General features: G+C 43.8%; 1 protein-coding gene across 11 annotated transcripts in view; it reads left to right on the top strand.

Annotated features, from left to right (window-relative positions):
• PTPRT (protein tyrosine phosphatase receptor type T) overlaps positions 1-17,214 on the top strand; it is a 1,158,017-nt gene that overhangs the window by 285,356 nt on the left and 855,447 nt on the right. For 4 of the 11 annotated variants that reach the window (XM_047439846.1, XM_017027611.2, XM_047439847.1 and 1 more), the window contains exon 1: positions 2,686-3,020. The exons of 6 other annotated variants lie outside the window; for them this stretch is intronic. In XM_047439846.1, the coding sequence (XP_047295802.1) occupies positions 2,918-3,020 (103 nt within the window). In that variant the 5' untranslated portion in view covers positions 2,686-2,917. Of the gene's footprint in view, positions 1-2,685; positions 3,021-17,214 lie in introns of those variants that run through there. One more of the 11 variants, XM_017027613.2, reaches the window with a different exon arrangement.

Here is a 17,214-nt window from a genome sequence, read left to right as displayed (position 1 = left end):
GTGGAAGGTTTTCACCTCTTCCACTGTTGTTATGGGCATTGCCTTGGTACTGTGGTAGACTGTCAAGAGCTTCCAGCCAGATCCATTTTAAACAGAAAGTGACTCAGCCAAGGTCATGCAACCAGCTGGAGGAAGAGCCAAGTCTTTGATGCAGGACTCCTTTCTCTCAGGCAAATCCTCAATCTTCAAGACCACCTGCCTGTGGTGTCCTGTCAGGCCCCGAGTTACTATGTGATTTAGCAAGTTGCAGCTTCGTTAGAAGTTCACTTCTGTTTCAAAGAGTTTTAGCCTGAGGTGGAGTGAGGTTGGCAGAGGCTGCTCTCATAGGATCATCTGCATTGGTCCTTTGCAGATTAAAAAAAAATGTGCGTAGAGCTGGAAGTTGCTGAGTGCTTGTTCCAAAGAGGAGAAACATGTTTATGTATCCTGGATGCACATGAACTCCCGGGCATCAGAGAGGTAGAGATGAGACAGCTTTGAGGTAGATGGTCTGTTTTTTTGCTTAGGAACCTTAGTGACTGCCCTACCATCTCTCTTTGAAATTCATCAAAGACCACTTCCTGTAATTGCTAGGAGAGTGCCTGCTTCTCCTTTGTGTACACTTCCTTCTTGGTGAGATTCACCTATCCAGGGAAACAAAGTGTCAACATTAGAGAGGAAGAGCAGAAGGCTTGCTGATTTAACTGGGTGACGTGCTAGTTCAGCTGTAATTACATCTACCCAAGACACCATCACCATCCTTGTGATCTCAAAACATGCTGAATCCACCATTCCCTTTGGCTTGACCCAATCTTGGTATCCAAATAATTTCAGCTTTAGCTTAGTTGAGGCTTCTTTGTATTCTGTCCTTAAAAACCTTCCATCCTACAATTAATGCACACTTAACGGCCAAGGTACACGGAGTCCAACTGGCAACTACAGACTAAATTGCCAAAGCTTCACTGTTTTGAGAGGACTTCTGACAACCAACTGTACTTATGATAATACTCAGACCGCAATAATATTTTATCTACACAATTACCAGTTTGGTGATTTATAGAACGCCGGATGCTATTATCGAGTTTAATTGACTGTATGGAACCCTAGTCTTTACTTGATGTAATTAAATGTTAATATACTTATAAAAACTGGGTACATAAACCAATATCTGTCAGCCAGTCCTAAATGTTCCTTGGGCTTCTGCATGCATAGCATTTTGCAGCAGAAAGATGATGGCTTTTGGAGAAGGAAAACAGTCAGAATCCACAACTGTAGGGAATATGGATTGGATTCTTAACTTGCTGGATTTTCAGTTTATTTATCTTTAAAATGGTGATGATTAATTCTTGGATTACAAGATGGTTGTTAAGATTAAGTAAGATTACATGGAATGTCTGGCCTGATGCCTAGCAAAGATTAGCTGCTCAATAAGGATCCATTTCCATACCCACCTTAGGCACATGTTTATTGCATGCCTAACATCTTCAAGGCATTATGTCATGTCAAGAGCCGAGATGGGCCCCTTACCTGCTTTACTTCTCTCCCTGTTTTCATTGTTGATCTCCCCTACTAGTATGTGAGCTCCATGGAGAAAGAGGTCATAGCTTTCAATCACTGCTTTATCCCTGATAGCTAGAATAATGTCTAGCATACACCAGACACTTGATCTAGCATTAATGAATGAAATCCAGATATGGGTTGAATAAATTCAGCGAGGGTAATAAGGAGGAGTGGGAATTTCATGCAAGAGACATTATCATAAAGTTGAGCAGGTTTGTGCTTTGGGATCAAGTTGAAAGTAATTCTAATCCCGACTCTGTCCTTTATAAGCTGTGCAGCCTTGCAGAAGTGACTTAACCTCTCTGAGCCTCAGGTTCCAATTTTGCAAAATCTTGTCTTGAATCCTAAAGAACAACTCACAGGGCTTCTCTAAGGACAAAATAAGGCAGTGGTTGGAAAGTACCTGGCATCTAATGGTTCCGGATTATTGAGTGGGCACCAAAGGCTGATTTTCCCAGGGTAGAACTTGAGAAAGCTTTGCATGACATCAGGATGTTCTCTTCTGGGGATTACCGGTGTCTTCTCCTCCCTCTGATCCTCACTGGGCCAAGGTGGGAGCACCTGGCTTCTGTCTCTCCTGAGCTGCTTTAAGCCAGGTCACTAATGGAGCTGAGATGTGGAGTGGGGTCAAAGGGCACTCCAGAGTTCCACAGAGAGCCATGTGTGGACCATGTGACTCTACTGACCTTGAGCCATCAGGACAGTGTACTCACTGTTCCAGGAAGTGGAACTTGCTGGGGGAGGCCTGCCAACAGAGGCTCTGGACCTTAGTTCTTTTCCTTTTTTTGTTTCCTCTGAAAAAAATTGTATGTTAAAAATAAGTCACTTTCAGAAGAAGAGGTTTTTAGAAAGCCAGATGTTCCTGTAGTGGTAGCAACTTTTGGGACTAGCAAAAATAAGCTGCCGTCATCCATCTCCTGGTTTCCTGCATGCCCTGGGTGACAGCTATTAGATTGCCTTCAGGCCTTTGGAAGGAAGAATGAGTAAACTTTTTCCATCAAAGGCTAGATAGTAAATATTTCAGTCTTTACAGACCATGTGGTCTCCATCACAGCTACTCAACTCTGCTGCTGTAGCTGGGAAGCAGCCGTAGATGATATGTAGGCAAATAAACATGGCTGTGTTTCAATAAAACTTTATTTACACAAACAGGAGGCAGGCTAGGTTTCTAGTTCATAGGTCATACTTTGCTGTACTCTGTGTTAAAACTTCCTGATTTGGAGAAAGACATTGGTTTCTCTATTTATTTTTCTGCTTCCTTTCCTTAATGGGGCAGGAGGAGTGACACCCAGAGAGGAGGGGGCATGAAGCAGCCCATGGGGGTCTTGTGGGGTTGGTGTTTCTTACACAGAACTGTGCTACCACTGTGGTCAAGTCGATGTATTCTAGCAATCGTGGCAAGCCAGAACAGAAGACACAAACTGGTTCCCTAAACAAGACAGAGACCGTGGGGGACGTGCCAGGAGCTTCCACAGAGACAGGTATGGGATTGCGGGTGTTAAGTATATGTCATTGAGTATCTAAGTGTAGAAATTTATCAGTGTGGACATACACAAGTGTTTCATTTCTTCTTTTAAATTTATGTTTATAAAGAAGGGTGTGTGTGTGTGTATGACATTCTGTGATGGGAGTAATAATTACTAATGTTTGTTGAGAGCTTGCTATGTGCCAGGCACTGTGCTGTCTTACATGTTATTTAATCCTCATGACAGCTTATCAGGAATGTACTTTTGGGGTGGACAGACCCAACACCAGGTCGTGAGGGTGATGAAGTCCGGTGGAGTCAGAGGAATGAGAAAAGACAGTTTGAGAGAGAAAGTGTGTCCAGGGGGCCAACGCAAGTATGGAGGCTGCAAAGACCCCAAGCTCTGGAAGCCCAGACTATTTATTGGTGATCAAACAGAGAAACAGGTGTTGAGAATGTGGGGGTCGAAAGGGCAAGTGCATGATCTACAGCTGTGACGGCTTAGCATTTCCTTTGCAGCATATGGAACATGTTCTGCTGCTTGAGATAGTGGAGAGCAGGTTCTTTTAACTCAAGATACAATCAGTCCTGGGAGAGCAAGGAGCCAGCAAGTCTAGACACATTCCAGAGGCCACGAGGGGTTTTATGCCTTGAGCCCTGGATTCTTTCCAAGCCACGAGGGGTTTTATGCCCTGGGCTTAGGTTATGGTGCTTCAGGGTAGGCTTCTACCCTTTAGCACAGAGCTTGGTGTTCCAAAGGCCACGAGGGGTTTTAGACCCTGGACCCCGGACATGTTCCAAGACTCTTTTACAGTATGTCAGACATGCAAGCCCTGCCTCAGCTTCTCCCAACACTCAGCTTTTCTCCCAACAATGTACTATTATTATCCACATTTCATGGATGAAGAAACTGAGGAGGGCCCACCATGCAGATTTCATCTCCTGTCTTCTATGTGATATGGGCTCTGGGTGGCATTACCACTTTTGATGCTACGGGAATGAAGTGTGATGGGGGACATGGTGAACTGAAGCAAGATTTTAGCCAGTCAGAACTCAAGGATGTGGCTGTGATGAAAGGAAGTGCTGGAAAGGGGTAGAGAGATGACAGGACTTGGGCATTCATACCGGGGACAAGCCAGGCATCCATGTTTGCTAGGAGTCTCTGCCTGCTCACCATCAGGGACCACTCAAGAGATAGCACCTGAAGACAGCTGATTATAACTTATTACTGAGGAAGGGGCCTCACACACACCTGACTGAATGGGAAGGACCTGGGTTTAGCCCCCTGGCTCTGTGAATATAACTTAGCTTGAGCCAAGCTGGGCTTTGAGATGAACCAATCTCAGAATTTTCTTCTACCACCTGCTAGTCTGTGACTCTCAGAATGTGACCTCACCCCCACTTTGATGGATTTACAGGGCAATTTGCCTGTTGCAATGCTTTGCGGAATATCTCTGGCCATTTCCCAGCTGTGATATTTGGGTGATGTTATTTAACTCTTGGTTTCATCTTGCATAAAGTGTGGATAGTGACAGTACCTAACTCATGGGGCTCTTTTGAGGATTGAATGAGGTAATCCATGGAAATGGACTAGCACGGTGCATAGCACATAGTTCCCAGTACATGCAAGCTGCTATCATTATTGTTCCCATTTTAAAGATGAGGAAGTGGAGGCTCAGAAATTTTCTTCTGACTCATCCAAAGTCACAAAGAAAGTGCCATAACCAAGCCATGCATCATCCTCTGATACCAAATCTTGTGCTTCTGACACTTCATCATATTCTATTTCATTCATTCATTCATGAGCATTTAAAGAGTTTCCCTCAAGCTCTCAAGAGTTAAAGTACTAGGCTCTTTGATGAGTCTAGTGAATAAAAGGGATGCACACTTCCTGCCCTGGTAGACTTAGGCTGGTAGTGGGAAGACAGAAAATAAGTAAATGAGTAAATAAACAATTTTAGAATGTAACTAAAGCGTTTGAGAAACAGCCTCGTCAAGCATAAACAAGGTGGTATGATAGAGAATGACTGAAGAAGGGAGGAGGCTGTTTTGCATTTGATTTTTGATGTGGAAGATGCCCAGAGACAGCCACATCACGTGCTAGGGCAAGAGTGTTCCATGGGGGAACAGCAAGTGCCAAGACCCTGAGACCGTGAAGAGCTTGGCTTGGGCTTCTGCAGGCTTCAGACGCTGACACAGCTGCCAGGAACCAGTTTAAGCCTGTCCTTCTGTGTCGAGAAAACCTTTCCTCACCTTTTCCCGACTGATCTGAAGTTTCTCTGAGACGGGGGATGACCCATGGCCATCTGTTTCTTTCGCTGCTCCCTCAAAATAAAAATGGAAAAGATAGCACTGTTGCGTGAGAAAAGATGAAAGATGCTATTCTGGCATCTGAGTGGGCAGAGCTCTGGGCTGGGGCCCCCTTTCTTTGTAGCCTTGCCCTTTTTATGCCTGTTTGTCCACCTGTAAAATTAGCAGCTGGGCCAGACCGTCCCTTCTCTCTTTAAATTTGATAGAGCATTGGAATCCCTGCATCTGCTCCCATGCTGTTTTTGGGAAAGAAGACTCACTGGGTTGGGCGGGACCACTTTTCAGGCTGGTTGGACTCTCCAGCTGGCCTCCAACTTGAAGCATCTTCACTCGTTTCAACTGAAGGTGACTGTTCTCTCCCCCTGTTCTCTCAGCCTCTCCTCGGCAGGTTGAGGCTGGCGCTGACCCAACAGAGGGCCTCCTTCTTTCATCGCACTTTCTCCTTGGTCACAGTGCATCTCACAGTGTCTGCTCACAAACTGGTGCCTGGGAAGGCTGGGGCCCGTGAGAAGACAGAATCTGCTTGCCATACCCCATGATGTTCTTTTTTCATAATGTACAAATGCACCAGGCAGAGGCCCATAGCAGACCATGTAGAGAAGATGGTCTGAACAGAGGCTCTTATTTTCAGGGAACTCTTGGTACTTTTTGTGTCCCAGCAAATGTAGCTAGGTACCATGAAGGGAGGACATAATTGTAGTCCCATAGGATGTCAGAAGTCAAAGGATTCTTAGAAGGTGGGGGACAGTGCCTATAATCCCAGTGCTTTGGAAGGCCCAGGAGGGAGGATCACTTAGGGCCAGCAGTTTGAGACCAGCCTGAGCACATAGGAAGAACCCATCTCTACAAAAAATTTAAAAATTAGCCAAGTTTGGTGGTACATGCCTGTAGTCCTAGCTACTTGGGAGGCTGGCACAGGAGGATTGCTTGAGCCCAGGAGTTCCAGGCTTCAAGTGAGCTATGATATGACACTGCACTCCAGCCTGGGTGACAGAGCAAGACCCCGTCTCTTAACAACAGCAACAAAAAGGTTCTCGGAGAGGGTTCAACTTGCTGCTTCTGTCACACATGGAGAAATGCTGGCCCTAGAGTCTACATGACTTATTCAAAGTCACACAGTAGTAAGGGGTGACAGAAGCTGGGATTTCCCATGCAGACCAATAGCATACCACAATTAGCCCTGATGATCTATAAGGGATATGATGGGCAGACTCAGATACAGTTTCTTTAAAACATTTTGTTTGTTTGGTGAGATTATGCCAGCTGACCACATGTAATACATCTGCCTTTTCCATTTCTAATTTATAGATTGGGATTAAATATTAATTTAACACACAACTTGGCACTGACTACGTGCCAGGTACTATTCCAAGTGTTTACAAATATTAAATTACCCAATCCTCATAACAGCCTTAAGAGTTAGGCACTATTATCCTAGTTTTACAGATGGAGAAATGAAGCACATAGAAGTTACATAAGTTGGCCAAGGTCATATAACTAAGTAAAAAAAAATAGCAGAGCTTAGATGCTGGCTCTGGAGTTCATAGCTTTAACTGCTACCTTGTTCTGTGTCTCCCTGGGCAAAGAACATCATCCACCACCCAAGGTGGGCATTTCTGGGGGCTGCTTAACCTCATTGAACTCTTTATTTAATATGTGAGAAAACTGGAGACCCAAAAGGGCATGAAGGCATCAGATTTGGTTCTAGGGCACCGCCGTTTCTGTTACCCCTGGGCTTTTCCCACTGTACTGTGCTGCCTTGGAAGTCGAAACACGTCTCTGATCTAGAAGACACCCAGCAGCAAGTTCATTATTCTCCCTTGAAGTTCCTTGGCTAACTTCCACCTTTGTTGTTTTCATTCCTGGATTTAATATAATGGGCCACATTAACCTGAGTTGCTGCACAAAGTCTCACAGAAAAAGAACCAAATGAACAGATCAGACACTGTTTTCTTGGTCCTTGGGGAATGCTCGAGCCATCAGAGAGACATCATCTTATTTATAATAAATTCACTGCTCAAAGAGCTTTAAAACTTTTTTTTATATTAGGAGTATTGTTTGTATCTGTTGAGTCCATGAATGTATGACATTGGATGACTTTATAAAACATTCTACTAATTGGATTTGTTAAAGCAAATAAATCAAACACTAATTGGAACGTGCCCTGCCATTATTTTTGCTTACTGAATTAGATGTAATGGTGTGAAGGCCTTCTTACCATATTTGTGCACTTATTTAAACACCCCCCCGGCACACACTTCTCCAAATTCAATTATATATTCAGAAAAGGAATTCAATTTATGGAAGGCTGGTTTACATTCATTCCGGGGGCAAGAATCAGCTACCCACGATAGGGTGTTCACAATTAATAAGCCCCACTTAGATATTACCCTGCCTTCAAAGCATTTGTTGGCACGAGGGTGGAATCTCCATGATTTGGGGGTTGAGGTATTTTATCTTTGGAATATGTGTCCACAGAGCAGGATTGGCTTCAAGGGCACTGAGTCATACAGGCCCTGGAACTCAGAAGAGAAGAGCCCGTGCTTGGTTTAATGCTCTGCTATCACCATCTTGATTTCTATTTTTTTTTTTTTTTTTTTTGAGACGGAGTTGTGCTCATGTTGCTTAGATTGGAGTGCAATGGCATGATCTCGGCTCACCACAACCTCCGCCTCCCAGGTTCAAGCGATTCTCCTGTGTCAGCCTCCCGAGTAGCTGGAATTACAGGCATGCGCCACCACGCCTGGCTAATTTTGTATTTTTAGTGAAGACGGGATTTCACCATGTTGGCCAGGCTGGTCTCAAACTCCAGCCTCAGGAGATCCACCCGCCTAGGCCTCCCAAAGTGCTGGGATTACAGGCATGAGCCATCGCGCCTGGCACCATCTTGATTTCTTAATTTTGAAGAAGAGACTCTGCATTTTAGTCTTGCAAGGGGCGCTCCAAATTTTGTAGGTGGACCTATCTTGGAGGTCGCCTTGGTTGTCAGACCTTCTGGCCAAGAAACAAACCCATGATTGGAGTCTTGGCTCAGTCCCTGATCTGACGCTGAGTGCATCATCCACTCCTGCCTCAGTTTCCTTATCTATAAAGTGGAAGTACTACTCCTTACCAATGAAGAACACAAGCTTGTAGTGTAGATGAAGTGTTTAATTAAATCTAAAGAGCTAGTGTTCTTTACTCAATCCCTTATCCGTAGGGCTAGCAGACAATGGGAGACGTGTTCCTCCCTCCAGTTCCCAGAGACGGGAAGAAACATTCTGCAATCGAGTCTTTGGAGGAGAGGGTCAGTAGCACATGGCATACATTCAAATGGCAATACACGGGACTGTATTAAAATTCAGTGACTGCTAAAACTGGGAATTTTTATGTCGTTAAAGAGAAGTCAGCCAGCTATAGCCTACCAGCCAAATCTGAGTGTTCACTGGTTTTTATATAGCCCACAAATAAGGAATGGTTTTTACATTTTTAAATGGTTAGGAATCAAAAGAAGAATACTATTTTGGGACATGTGAAAATCATATGAAATGCAACATGCAGTGCTAATAAATAAAGTCTTATTAGAACACAGTCATGCCCATTCTTTTTGTATTGTTTCTGTACAACAATAACATTGTTGAGTACTAGTGACAGGGAACATGTGGCCCCCTGTGATGGGTGGGATTCTAAGACAGCCCCCAAGATTCCTGGCCTCTGGGGTACACATCCTGAGTACTTCCCACTCCTTGCGTGGACTGTGCATGTGATGGATTTCACTGTCTTGATTAGCTTATCTTAGTGAATGACAAAGGTGAAGGAATTTTGCGATGTCTCCCCATGTGACTGTGTTTGGAGACAAGGCCTATAAGAAGGTTAAATGAGGTTATATGCATGAGACCTTAGTTCCATTGGGCTGGGAAGATGCATCAGAGTACACAGGCACCAAGGAAAGGCTGTGTGAGGACACAGTGAGAAGGCGGCCATCTGCCAGCCAGGAAGCAAGCCCTCACCTGACCCTGCCCAACTTTGGTCTGAGATTCCTGGCCTCCAGAACTGTGTAAAAATAAATGTCTATTGTTTAAGTCACACAGTTTGTGGCATTTTTTTACAGCAGCCCTAGCAGGCTAATACAACCTGCAAAGCTGAAAATATTTACTATCTAGCCTTTTATAGAAAAAGTTTAACAACCCCCCAGTTAAAAAATAACTGCTTTGACCACATTATTTTTCTGTGCCCTGTAACCATTTATTCTTGCTACATCTTGAATCTGTCTGAACAGCTCACATGTGTGAGCTCTTCACATACCAGCGATTACTATGTGAGGCCCACACCACCCCCTGTTCTCTGCATGTGCCTGCCTTCCTGACTTTAAGCCCCCTACTCCATTTCTTCTCCTCCCTATAACACTATGGCCTCCGTTATGAGGTGAAGGGGCAGAGCCTACCCCCTATGCCTGGTCCTCCAGAAGTGCAGATTGGCATCCTGGGCCTGGGCAGTGAATGGGGGCAGAAGGCATGCAGACTGGCTGAATGCCATTTTACAGGGATTGGGGAAGAACTGTGCAGCCACTTATTTCCCTCAACAGGTTCCTTTCGAGGTCAAGGTTATCTTTTCAGTTCATCACCATGGCAACCTAGTATAATGAGTAGGTACATAGACTGAGCTAGTCTGGGTTCAAAGCCACGCTTTGCCACCTGTTATTTGTGTGATCTTGGGATAGTTTTTTTTTTTAACCTTTCTATGCCTTCATTTCTTTGTCTATAAAATTGGGGTTAATGATCATATCCATCTCGTGGGGTGATTGGGATAATTAAATGAGTTACTACTGGTGAACACTGAGAACAGTGCTGGGCACTGGACATGGTTATCTTGACTATCTCTCAGATCTAGTTGGGATCTGTGTCTGCTCAGCAGCTTTCTGTCCCCGTCTCTTTGACCTTGCATTGTGATTACTTGGTCCTTGCAAACCGTTATCAAGCTCAGCTCACAGTTTACTCCTTAGCAGTCTCAGCTGTCATTCTGGTCCTCTCGCAAATACTCTCATTTCTCCTTGAATGACTTCTCCACCTGTCCGTGGTCTCAACTTACTCTTCTCCATTTCCTGGTGGCCTTATGGCGCTTCCTTAGATCAACCTTGGACTTCCCTTCTTTCTCGGATTCAGAATCTCCATCTGTTTTGGCCCTTCATGTGATCAGAGCAAATGTTCTTTTTTTTTTAATTTTTTAATTTTTAATTTTTTATTATTATTATACCTTAAGTTTTAGGGTACATGTGCACAATGTGCAGGTTTGTTACATATGTATACATATGCCATGCAGGTGTGTGGCACCCATTAACTCGTCATTTAGCATTAGGTATATCTCCTAATGCTATCCCTCCCCACTCCCCCCACCCCACAACAGTCCCCAGAGTGTGATGTTCCCCTTCCTGTGTCCATGTGTTCTCATTGTTCAATTCCCATCTATGAGTGAGAACATGTGGTGTTTGGTTTTTTGTCCTTGCGATAGTTTACTGAGAATGATGATTTCCAATTTCATCCATGTCCCTACAAAGGACATGAACTCATCATTTTTTATGGCTGCATAGTATTCCATGGTGTATATGTGCCACATTTCCTTAATCCAGTCTATCGTTGTTGGACATTTGGGTTGGTTCCAAGTCTTTGCTATTGTGAATAGTGCTGCAATAAACATACGTGTGCATGTGTCTTTATAGCAGCATGATTTATAGTCCTTTGGGTATATACCCAGTAATGGGATGGCTGGGTCAAATGGTATTTCTAGTTCTAGATCCCTGAGGAATCGCCACACTGACTTCCACAATGGTTGAACTAGTTTACAGTCCCACCAACAGTGTAAAAGTGTTCCTATTTCTCCACATCCTCTCCAGCACCTGTTATTTCCTGACTTTTTAATGATAGCCATTCTAACTGGTATGAGATGGTATCTCATTGTGGTTTTGATTTGCATTTCTCTGATGGCCAGTGATGATGAGCATTTTTTCATGTGTCTTTTGGCTGCATAAACGTCTTCTTTTGAGAAGTGTCTGTTCATATCCTTTGGCCACTTTGTGATGGGGTTGTTTTTTTCTTGTAAATTTGTTTGAGTTCATTGTAGATTCTGGATATTAGCCCTTTGTCAGATGAGTAGGTTGCGAAAATTTTCTCCCATTTTGTAGGTTGCCTGTTCACTCTGATGGTAGTTTCTTAAAGGTCCCAGCCTGATTTCTGAGTTCTTCGCTCTTACTCCCCTGCAAGGCCTCCCCTGGGTTCACCGTGGCCCCCAGGAGAAGCCCAATGACAGTGGATGAGAGCTTTCTCTGTGGGCCCCAGCCTGGCTCCTCTACGTGAATGGAGGTCCTTTTTAATATATTCAGGCATTCACTGAACAATAAAGTGCAAGCATATACTATGGGACAGACTCTGAGGAAAGAGACCCTTGTGGCATGTCCCTGTTGCTATGGAGCTTTAGTTGGAGGGACGCAGTCCTGTGGTCTCAGTCCCTTCCCCCACCCCAGGGTCCCCAGTGCTGACGTCTCCCCCAAGAATCATGAGAATGTATGTGGAGTGAGCTACTAGGACTTTCAGCACCAGCTATGGATCAGGGAGCAGGTGTTTCTGCGTATCCTCATCCATGGCAGATCACCTTAATCTCCAGCCACGTTCATCAAAATGATGAGCTCTACCAAAAGTAGTGCCTACCACGGAGGGCAAGTAAAGGCAATTTTCCACCTTTTTTAGGTTTAGCCCAGTTTTCTTTTTTTTTTTTTTACTTAGCTCCACTGCTGGATATTAAAAGAACATCTTTCTATTCTGGAAGCATCATGGTGAGACCAGATTCTGTGAACACACAGAGTGTTCAAAAGAATGCTGGGTTGGAGCAATGGAAAGTACCCAGGCTTTGGTACCATCCAGTCTAGGGCTCACATCTTGGCTCCATTCCTTCATGTGGGTGAGTTTGATACATCATCTATAAAATGGTACAATCAAAATGGCAGGGCTTGTGGTGAGGGTTAGATACTGTAGGTAAAGCCTCCATTACATTCAACTGTGAATAAAAGGAGGTGTTGCTATTAGTACTGCTGTACATGATGTCATTGTTTTTCCCTCGCTGGGTAAGTTCCTTAGGAGCTCTGATGACAAGTTTTCATTTATACAAAGAAGAAAGCAATACTTCTTTCTTAGAGCAAGGGTTGGCAAACTATAGCCCCTGGGCAAATCTAGGCTGTCACCTCTTGCAAATAAAGTTTTATTGGAACACAGCCACACTCATTTATTTACATATTTTTGCACTGCAGTGGTAGAACTGAGTAGTTGTGACAGAGGCTGTGTGACTACAGAGCTGAAAATATTTACTGTCTAGTCTTTTATGGAAAATGTTTGATGACTCCTGTCTTAGAGAGTGGTGGTGTTTGAGTCACCTACATCTACGTTAATATATATACAGATATACACATACACCTACATAGTTCAAATACAGTGCCTGGCACACAGTGGGAGCCCAACGAATCTTTTAGTTCCTCTACAAAACTTAATTCAGCTCAAGAATACACAGGATCATATCTAAGAAATGCAGAGGAAGACACATTTATATTTTTATTGAATTCTATTCCTCTCTCATTTTCAAAAGAAGAGCTCATGTTTTTTAAAAAAATTCTGATTGACACTATAAACTTTATTTATGCTTTAATGTATCCTAAAGTATGTATCCTGCACTATTTTTACTTCCCTTACAGATGCTGATATGCTATACACTACCAAACCCAAATGGATTTTCAAAATCCAATTTCCTTGCTACAGTTTTCCATTTCTCTGTTGACTTTTTATGTCTGATTCACATCAGAGCATCTGGGGCCATTGCCACATTTTGACCTCAGCCTGCCCAGGGAAATAGCTCCTCTGGGGAGGTGCTGGGTCCTTGGCCAGTGGCTGCACTTCCCTGTCCTCCCCCAATTATGTGGATCTTCACCAAACCTCAGCTGAGCCCAGCTCCTGGGATGGGGGTAGATTTTTTGGGTTTCCTTCCTCCCAAAAATGATTGTGGTGAGGTCGAGATCACTTAAATGATGTCATCTGCTCTTCAAACCTGAATGAGGTTAGCATCCAGATGAGTGTCTTTGGGGACTGTATTAGTCCGTTTTCACACTGCTGATAAAGACATAGCCAAGACTGGGTAATTTATAAAGAAACAGGTTTAGTGGATTCACAGTTCCATGTGGCTGGGGAGGCGGCACAATCATGGTGGAAGGTGAAAGGCACATCTTACATGGTGGCAGACAAGAAAGAATGAGAGCCAAGCGAAAGGGGAAACCCCTTAAAAATCATCAGATCTTGCGAGACTTACTACCAGGAGAACAGTATGGGGGAAACCACCCCTATGATTCAATTATCTCCCACCAGGTCCCTCCCACAACACATGGGAATTATGGGAGCTACAATTCAGGATGAGATTTGAGTGGGGACACAGCCAAACTGTATCAGGGACTCTCTGGAACCATAAATCTCCCCTAAGCTGCCATAAACACCTGCAGCAACGTCTGGGGCCTGTTTTGGTTATGGCCACTAGGAATTGCTCCAAGACAGATAGATGTTACTGGGTTTAAATGTTTTCTGTTCTCGGTCCAGGGGAAGCTTGGCTTTAATTTCTCCTCCTCCTCTTGGTGGCTCTCAGTGGCAGGACACCCTAGCCTGTACTTGTGCTGACTGCATGGGTCTGTATCTCTGTGGTTTCTGAGAGTTCCAGTTCTTTCTGAATCTCTGGATTTCTTAAATGTTACAAGTGGAAGGTTCATTGCAATCATCTTGTTCAGCCCTTTGCCTTGCACAGCAGAAAATGAAGGCTCAGAAACAGGGAAGGGATATGAGCCCAACAGGTTGTACCCAGATGTCAGTGTCAGTTGCTATTGGGTTATGTAGTCTTGAGTTCATAGCCACTCTGTTTCTCAATGTGGGAGACAGAAAACTCATAAAAGTTGCCTAAAAATCTCCCCTGAATAGTTCTTAAAACTTACCTTTGAGTCAAGTCAGACCAATAGGGAGTGGGTATCCAGACTGCATTGCGTTGGGCCCCAATGAGCTTTTACTGAATTGTGTGTTTAGGTGATGCTATCAATTTATATTGAGAATGATGATGAGAAACAGTCTCATGAAATTGGCCATTCAGCCCCTTGTGCAGATGTTGTTTCATTATGGGATATGGGGTTTCTGTTATGAGTATTCCTGCAGAGAAATTCTTGTCTGATCAAAGCACCTGAAATGGTTGTCATTTCCCTGAGCAATTTGGCTTTTATTATAAAAACACAGAGTGTCCAGTACCTTACCAGGTTTTGCTTTTTTTCTATTGGGTGTCAGAAGCTCAGAGCTATATATGTAACCCCCTTTTAGTAAAGGAACACGTGGAAAATCGCAGCATAGATTTGTGGCTCCCTCCTTCTGTCCTGCTTTTCTTTCTTTTCCTGTCCTCAATTTGATTTTTGTCATCATGCAGTATTTCCTCCTTCTATGTTTAACCTGCTGCTTTGGTTGGACCAGTGACCAGTTAGGCAGCATTCCTTGAAATTCCCTGCTTTGCTGGGAGCCCAAGGGCTCCATGGAAGAATCATGAACTGTGTGTATTGCTGGGATTCAGACATGTATGAGTGATAAAAGTGCAGAACAGGAGCCCATTTCTAGAAACTCTTCTGTAGGAGGGACATTAAGGTCCCCAGAGTGACCTTACGGTCCCCATTTTCTGTCCTGAATGCATAAGTCATCCCATAAGTGATGACAAATCCTGGCAGAGTGGAATAGAATTGACAGTGGGGCCTGAATATTCTGAAGAAATAGTGGCTCAAGATAGAGTGGAAAGCTGCTTTTAAATTCACTCTAAGTGAGTTCTTCTGCAGAGGCAAAGAGAGGACTGTGGTTTGAAAATAAAAATTGGGTCACTGAGGTCCAAGGCCTGCTGCTGTGGAACCCTAGTTTCAAAGAGCAGACTGTAAGAAGGGAAAAGCATTTGCTTACCTGCTGCAGATTGAAGTGACCAACAGAGCTCAGCAGAGGGGAGAAGCAAGGTGGTTCAGTGAGTGCCTGTGAAGAGGAGGTACATCCCTAGTCCTCAGAGGGCCAGGACCTGTCAGCAGTCAGCTCAGTATCAGCTGAGTGTCTACCTACAGTTAAGCAGAGGCAGGGAGGTGAGGGGTGGGCAATGGATCCAACGGACTAGGGGCAAGTGTTAATGTGACCTTGCCTGGGATCTGTAACCTGGGATGCCTAGAGGTATAGCTGTGAGCCTTCTTAAATCTTATCTAGAAGAAGGAAGAGAATTTGGTTAATTAAACCATCAACTAAAATAATAACTTGTTTTTTTTAGCATCAACACATACATAAGAAAGCATATTTTCCATTGCATCTTCAGTGTATATTTGCATGCTTACCTTTCACTCTATTCTGCAAACTTTGTGAGGGTAAGGATCATATCTGTCAATTCTGTGCCATGTCCAGAGCCCATTAAAAAAACTTGTTGAATGTTTCTAGAATAAGTGAAGGAATGGATTTGAATGGAGAGGCCCAACCACCTTGGAAGTTCTTTATCTGCCTGGCCCCTCTTATTACCTTATAAGTGAAAGACCTTATCCTTGGTTTGGGGGAATAATTCTCTCTCTGGTCTATTAGGATGGGCATGGGCTCTACAGCTATGCTGCCATGGATTTAATATTGGCTCCAACACTTTCCTTCCATGTTGCCTGAGCAGGTCATTTATCCCCTCAGTGCATCAATTCTCTTAGATTTAAAGTTGAGATAAAATGTACCTCATGTGGTTTGTGAGGATTACATGACAGCTAATGAGATAGTATATGTAATCGGTGTCGAATATGTTGCCCAACACAGAGCAAATGCTTGGGAGAATATGCTTCTTCTTTCTTTCTTTGGATCACTGTGTTGAGGTATGACACACTTTATATATTAGTCAGGTTGTACAAAGCTCTACGGTGCTAACAGTTAAACCCTAAGATCTCAGTGGCATATGACAAGAAAAGTTTATATTTTGCTCCTGAAAAGTTGAATGCTGATATTCCTGGTCAGGCGAGTCTCTGGGTGGCTTTCCTCTACAGAGTAGAGATACTCAGTGGGGTGCTGTCTTAATCCATTTCGGCTGTTATAACAAAATGCCTTAAACTGGGTTATTTAAAAAATAGAAAGTTATTGCTCATAGTTCTGGGGGTTGGCAAGTTCAAGATCAAGGTGATAGCAGATTTGGTACTTGGTAAAGGTCCCTTCCTTATAGATGGCACCTTCTATGAGTCCGCACATGGCAGAAGGGGTGAACGATTTGCCTAGGGCATCTTTTATAAGGGTGCGATCTCATTTCTGAGAACAGAGCCCTCACAGTCCTTTGGAAGCATCTCCCAAAGGCTCCACCTAATACTATTACATTGGGGATTAGGCTTCAACATATGAATTTAAGGGGAACACGCACATTTGGACCATAGTAGTTGCTGAAGGCCAGCTCTTCTGGGTGTCCATATCCAACAAGAAAGGAAAGTGGAGAAAGCTTTTCTATCACAGGTTTTCTTCCATGGTGTTTGGACTGTATTCTATGTCAGATCTGTCAACAGGATGTCCACCACCACTATCCAGAGGAAATCTCAGGTCTGGGGTGCAGAGAAAGAATTTGGTTCTTTGCAGCTGATGGAGACAATAGTGTGATGTTAATGAGCACATGGCCGGGCTAGTGTGGGATGAACTGAATAAAGCCATGTTTGTTTATTTTCTTAGTCAATTTAGGCTGCCATAACAAAATACCATGACTGAGTGGCTTATAAACAACAGAAATTGATTTCTCACAGTCCTGGGGACTAGGAAGTATAAGATCGAGACATTGGCAGATTCAGCATCTGGTGAGGGCCCAGCTCCTGCTTCTTTGATGGCACCTTCTCCTTG

This window comes from Homo sapiens, chromosome 20, assembly GCF_000001405.40.
Source record: "Homo sapiens chromosome 20, GRCh38.p14 Primary Assembly".
NCBI classification, from domain to species: domain Eukaryota; kingdom Metazoa; phylum Chordata; class Mammalia; order Primates; family Hominidae; genus Homo; species Homo sapiens.
Note: the sequence above shows the minus strand (reverse complement) of the source record. Positions and strands in the feature narration are given on the sequence as shown.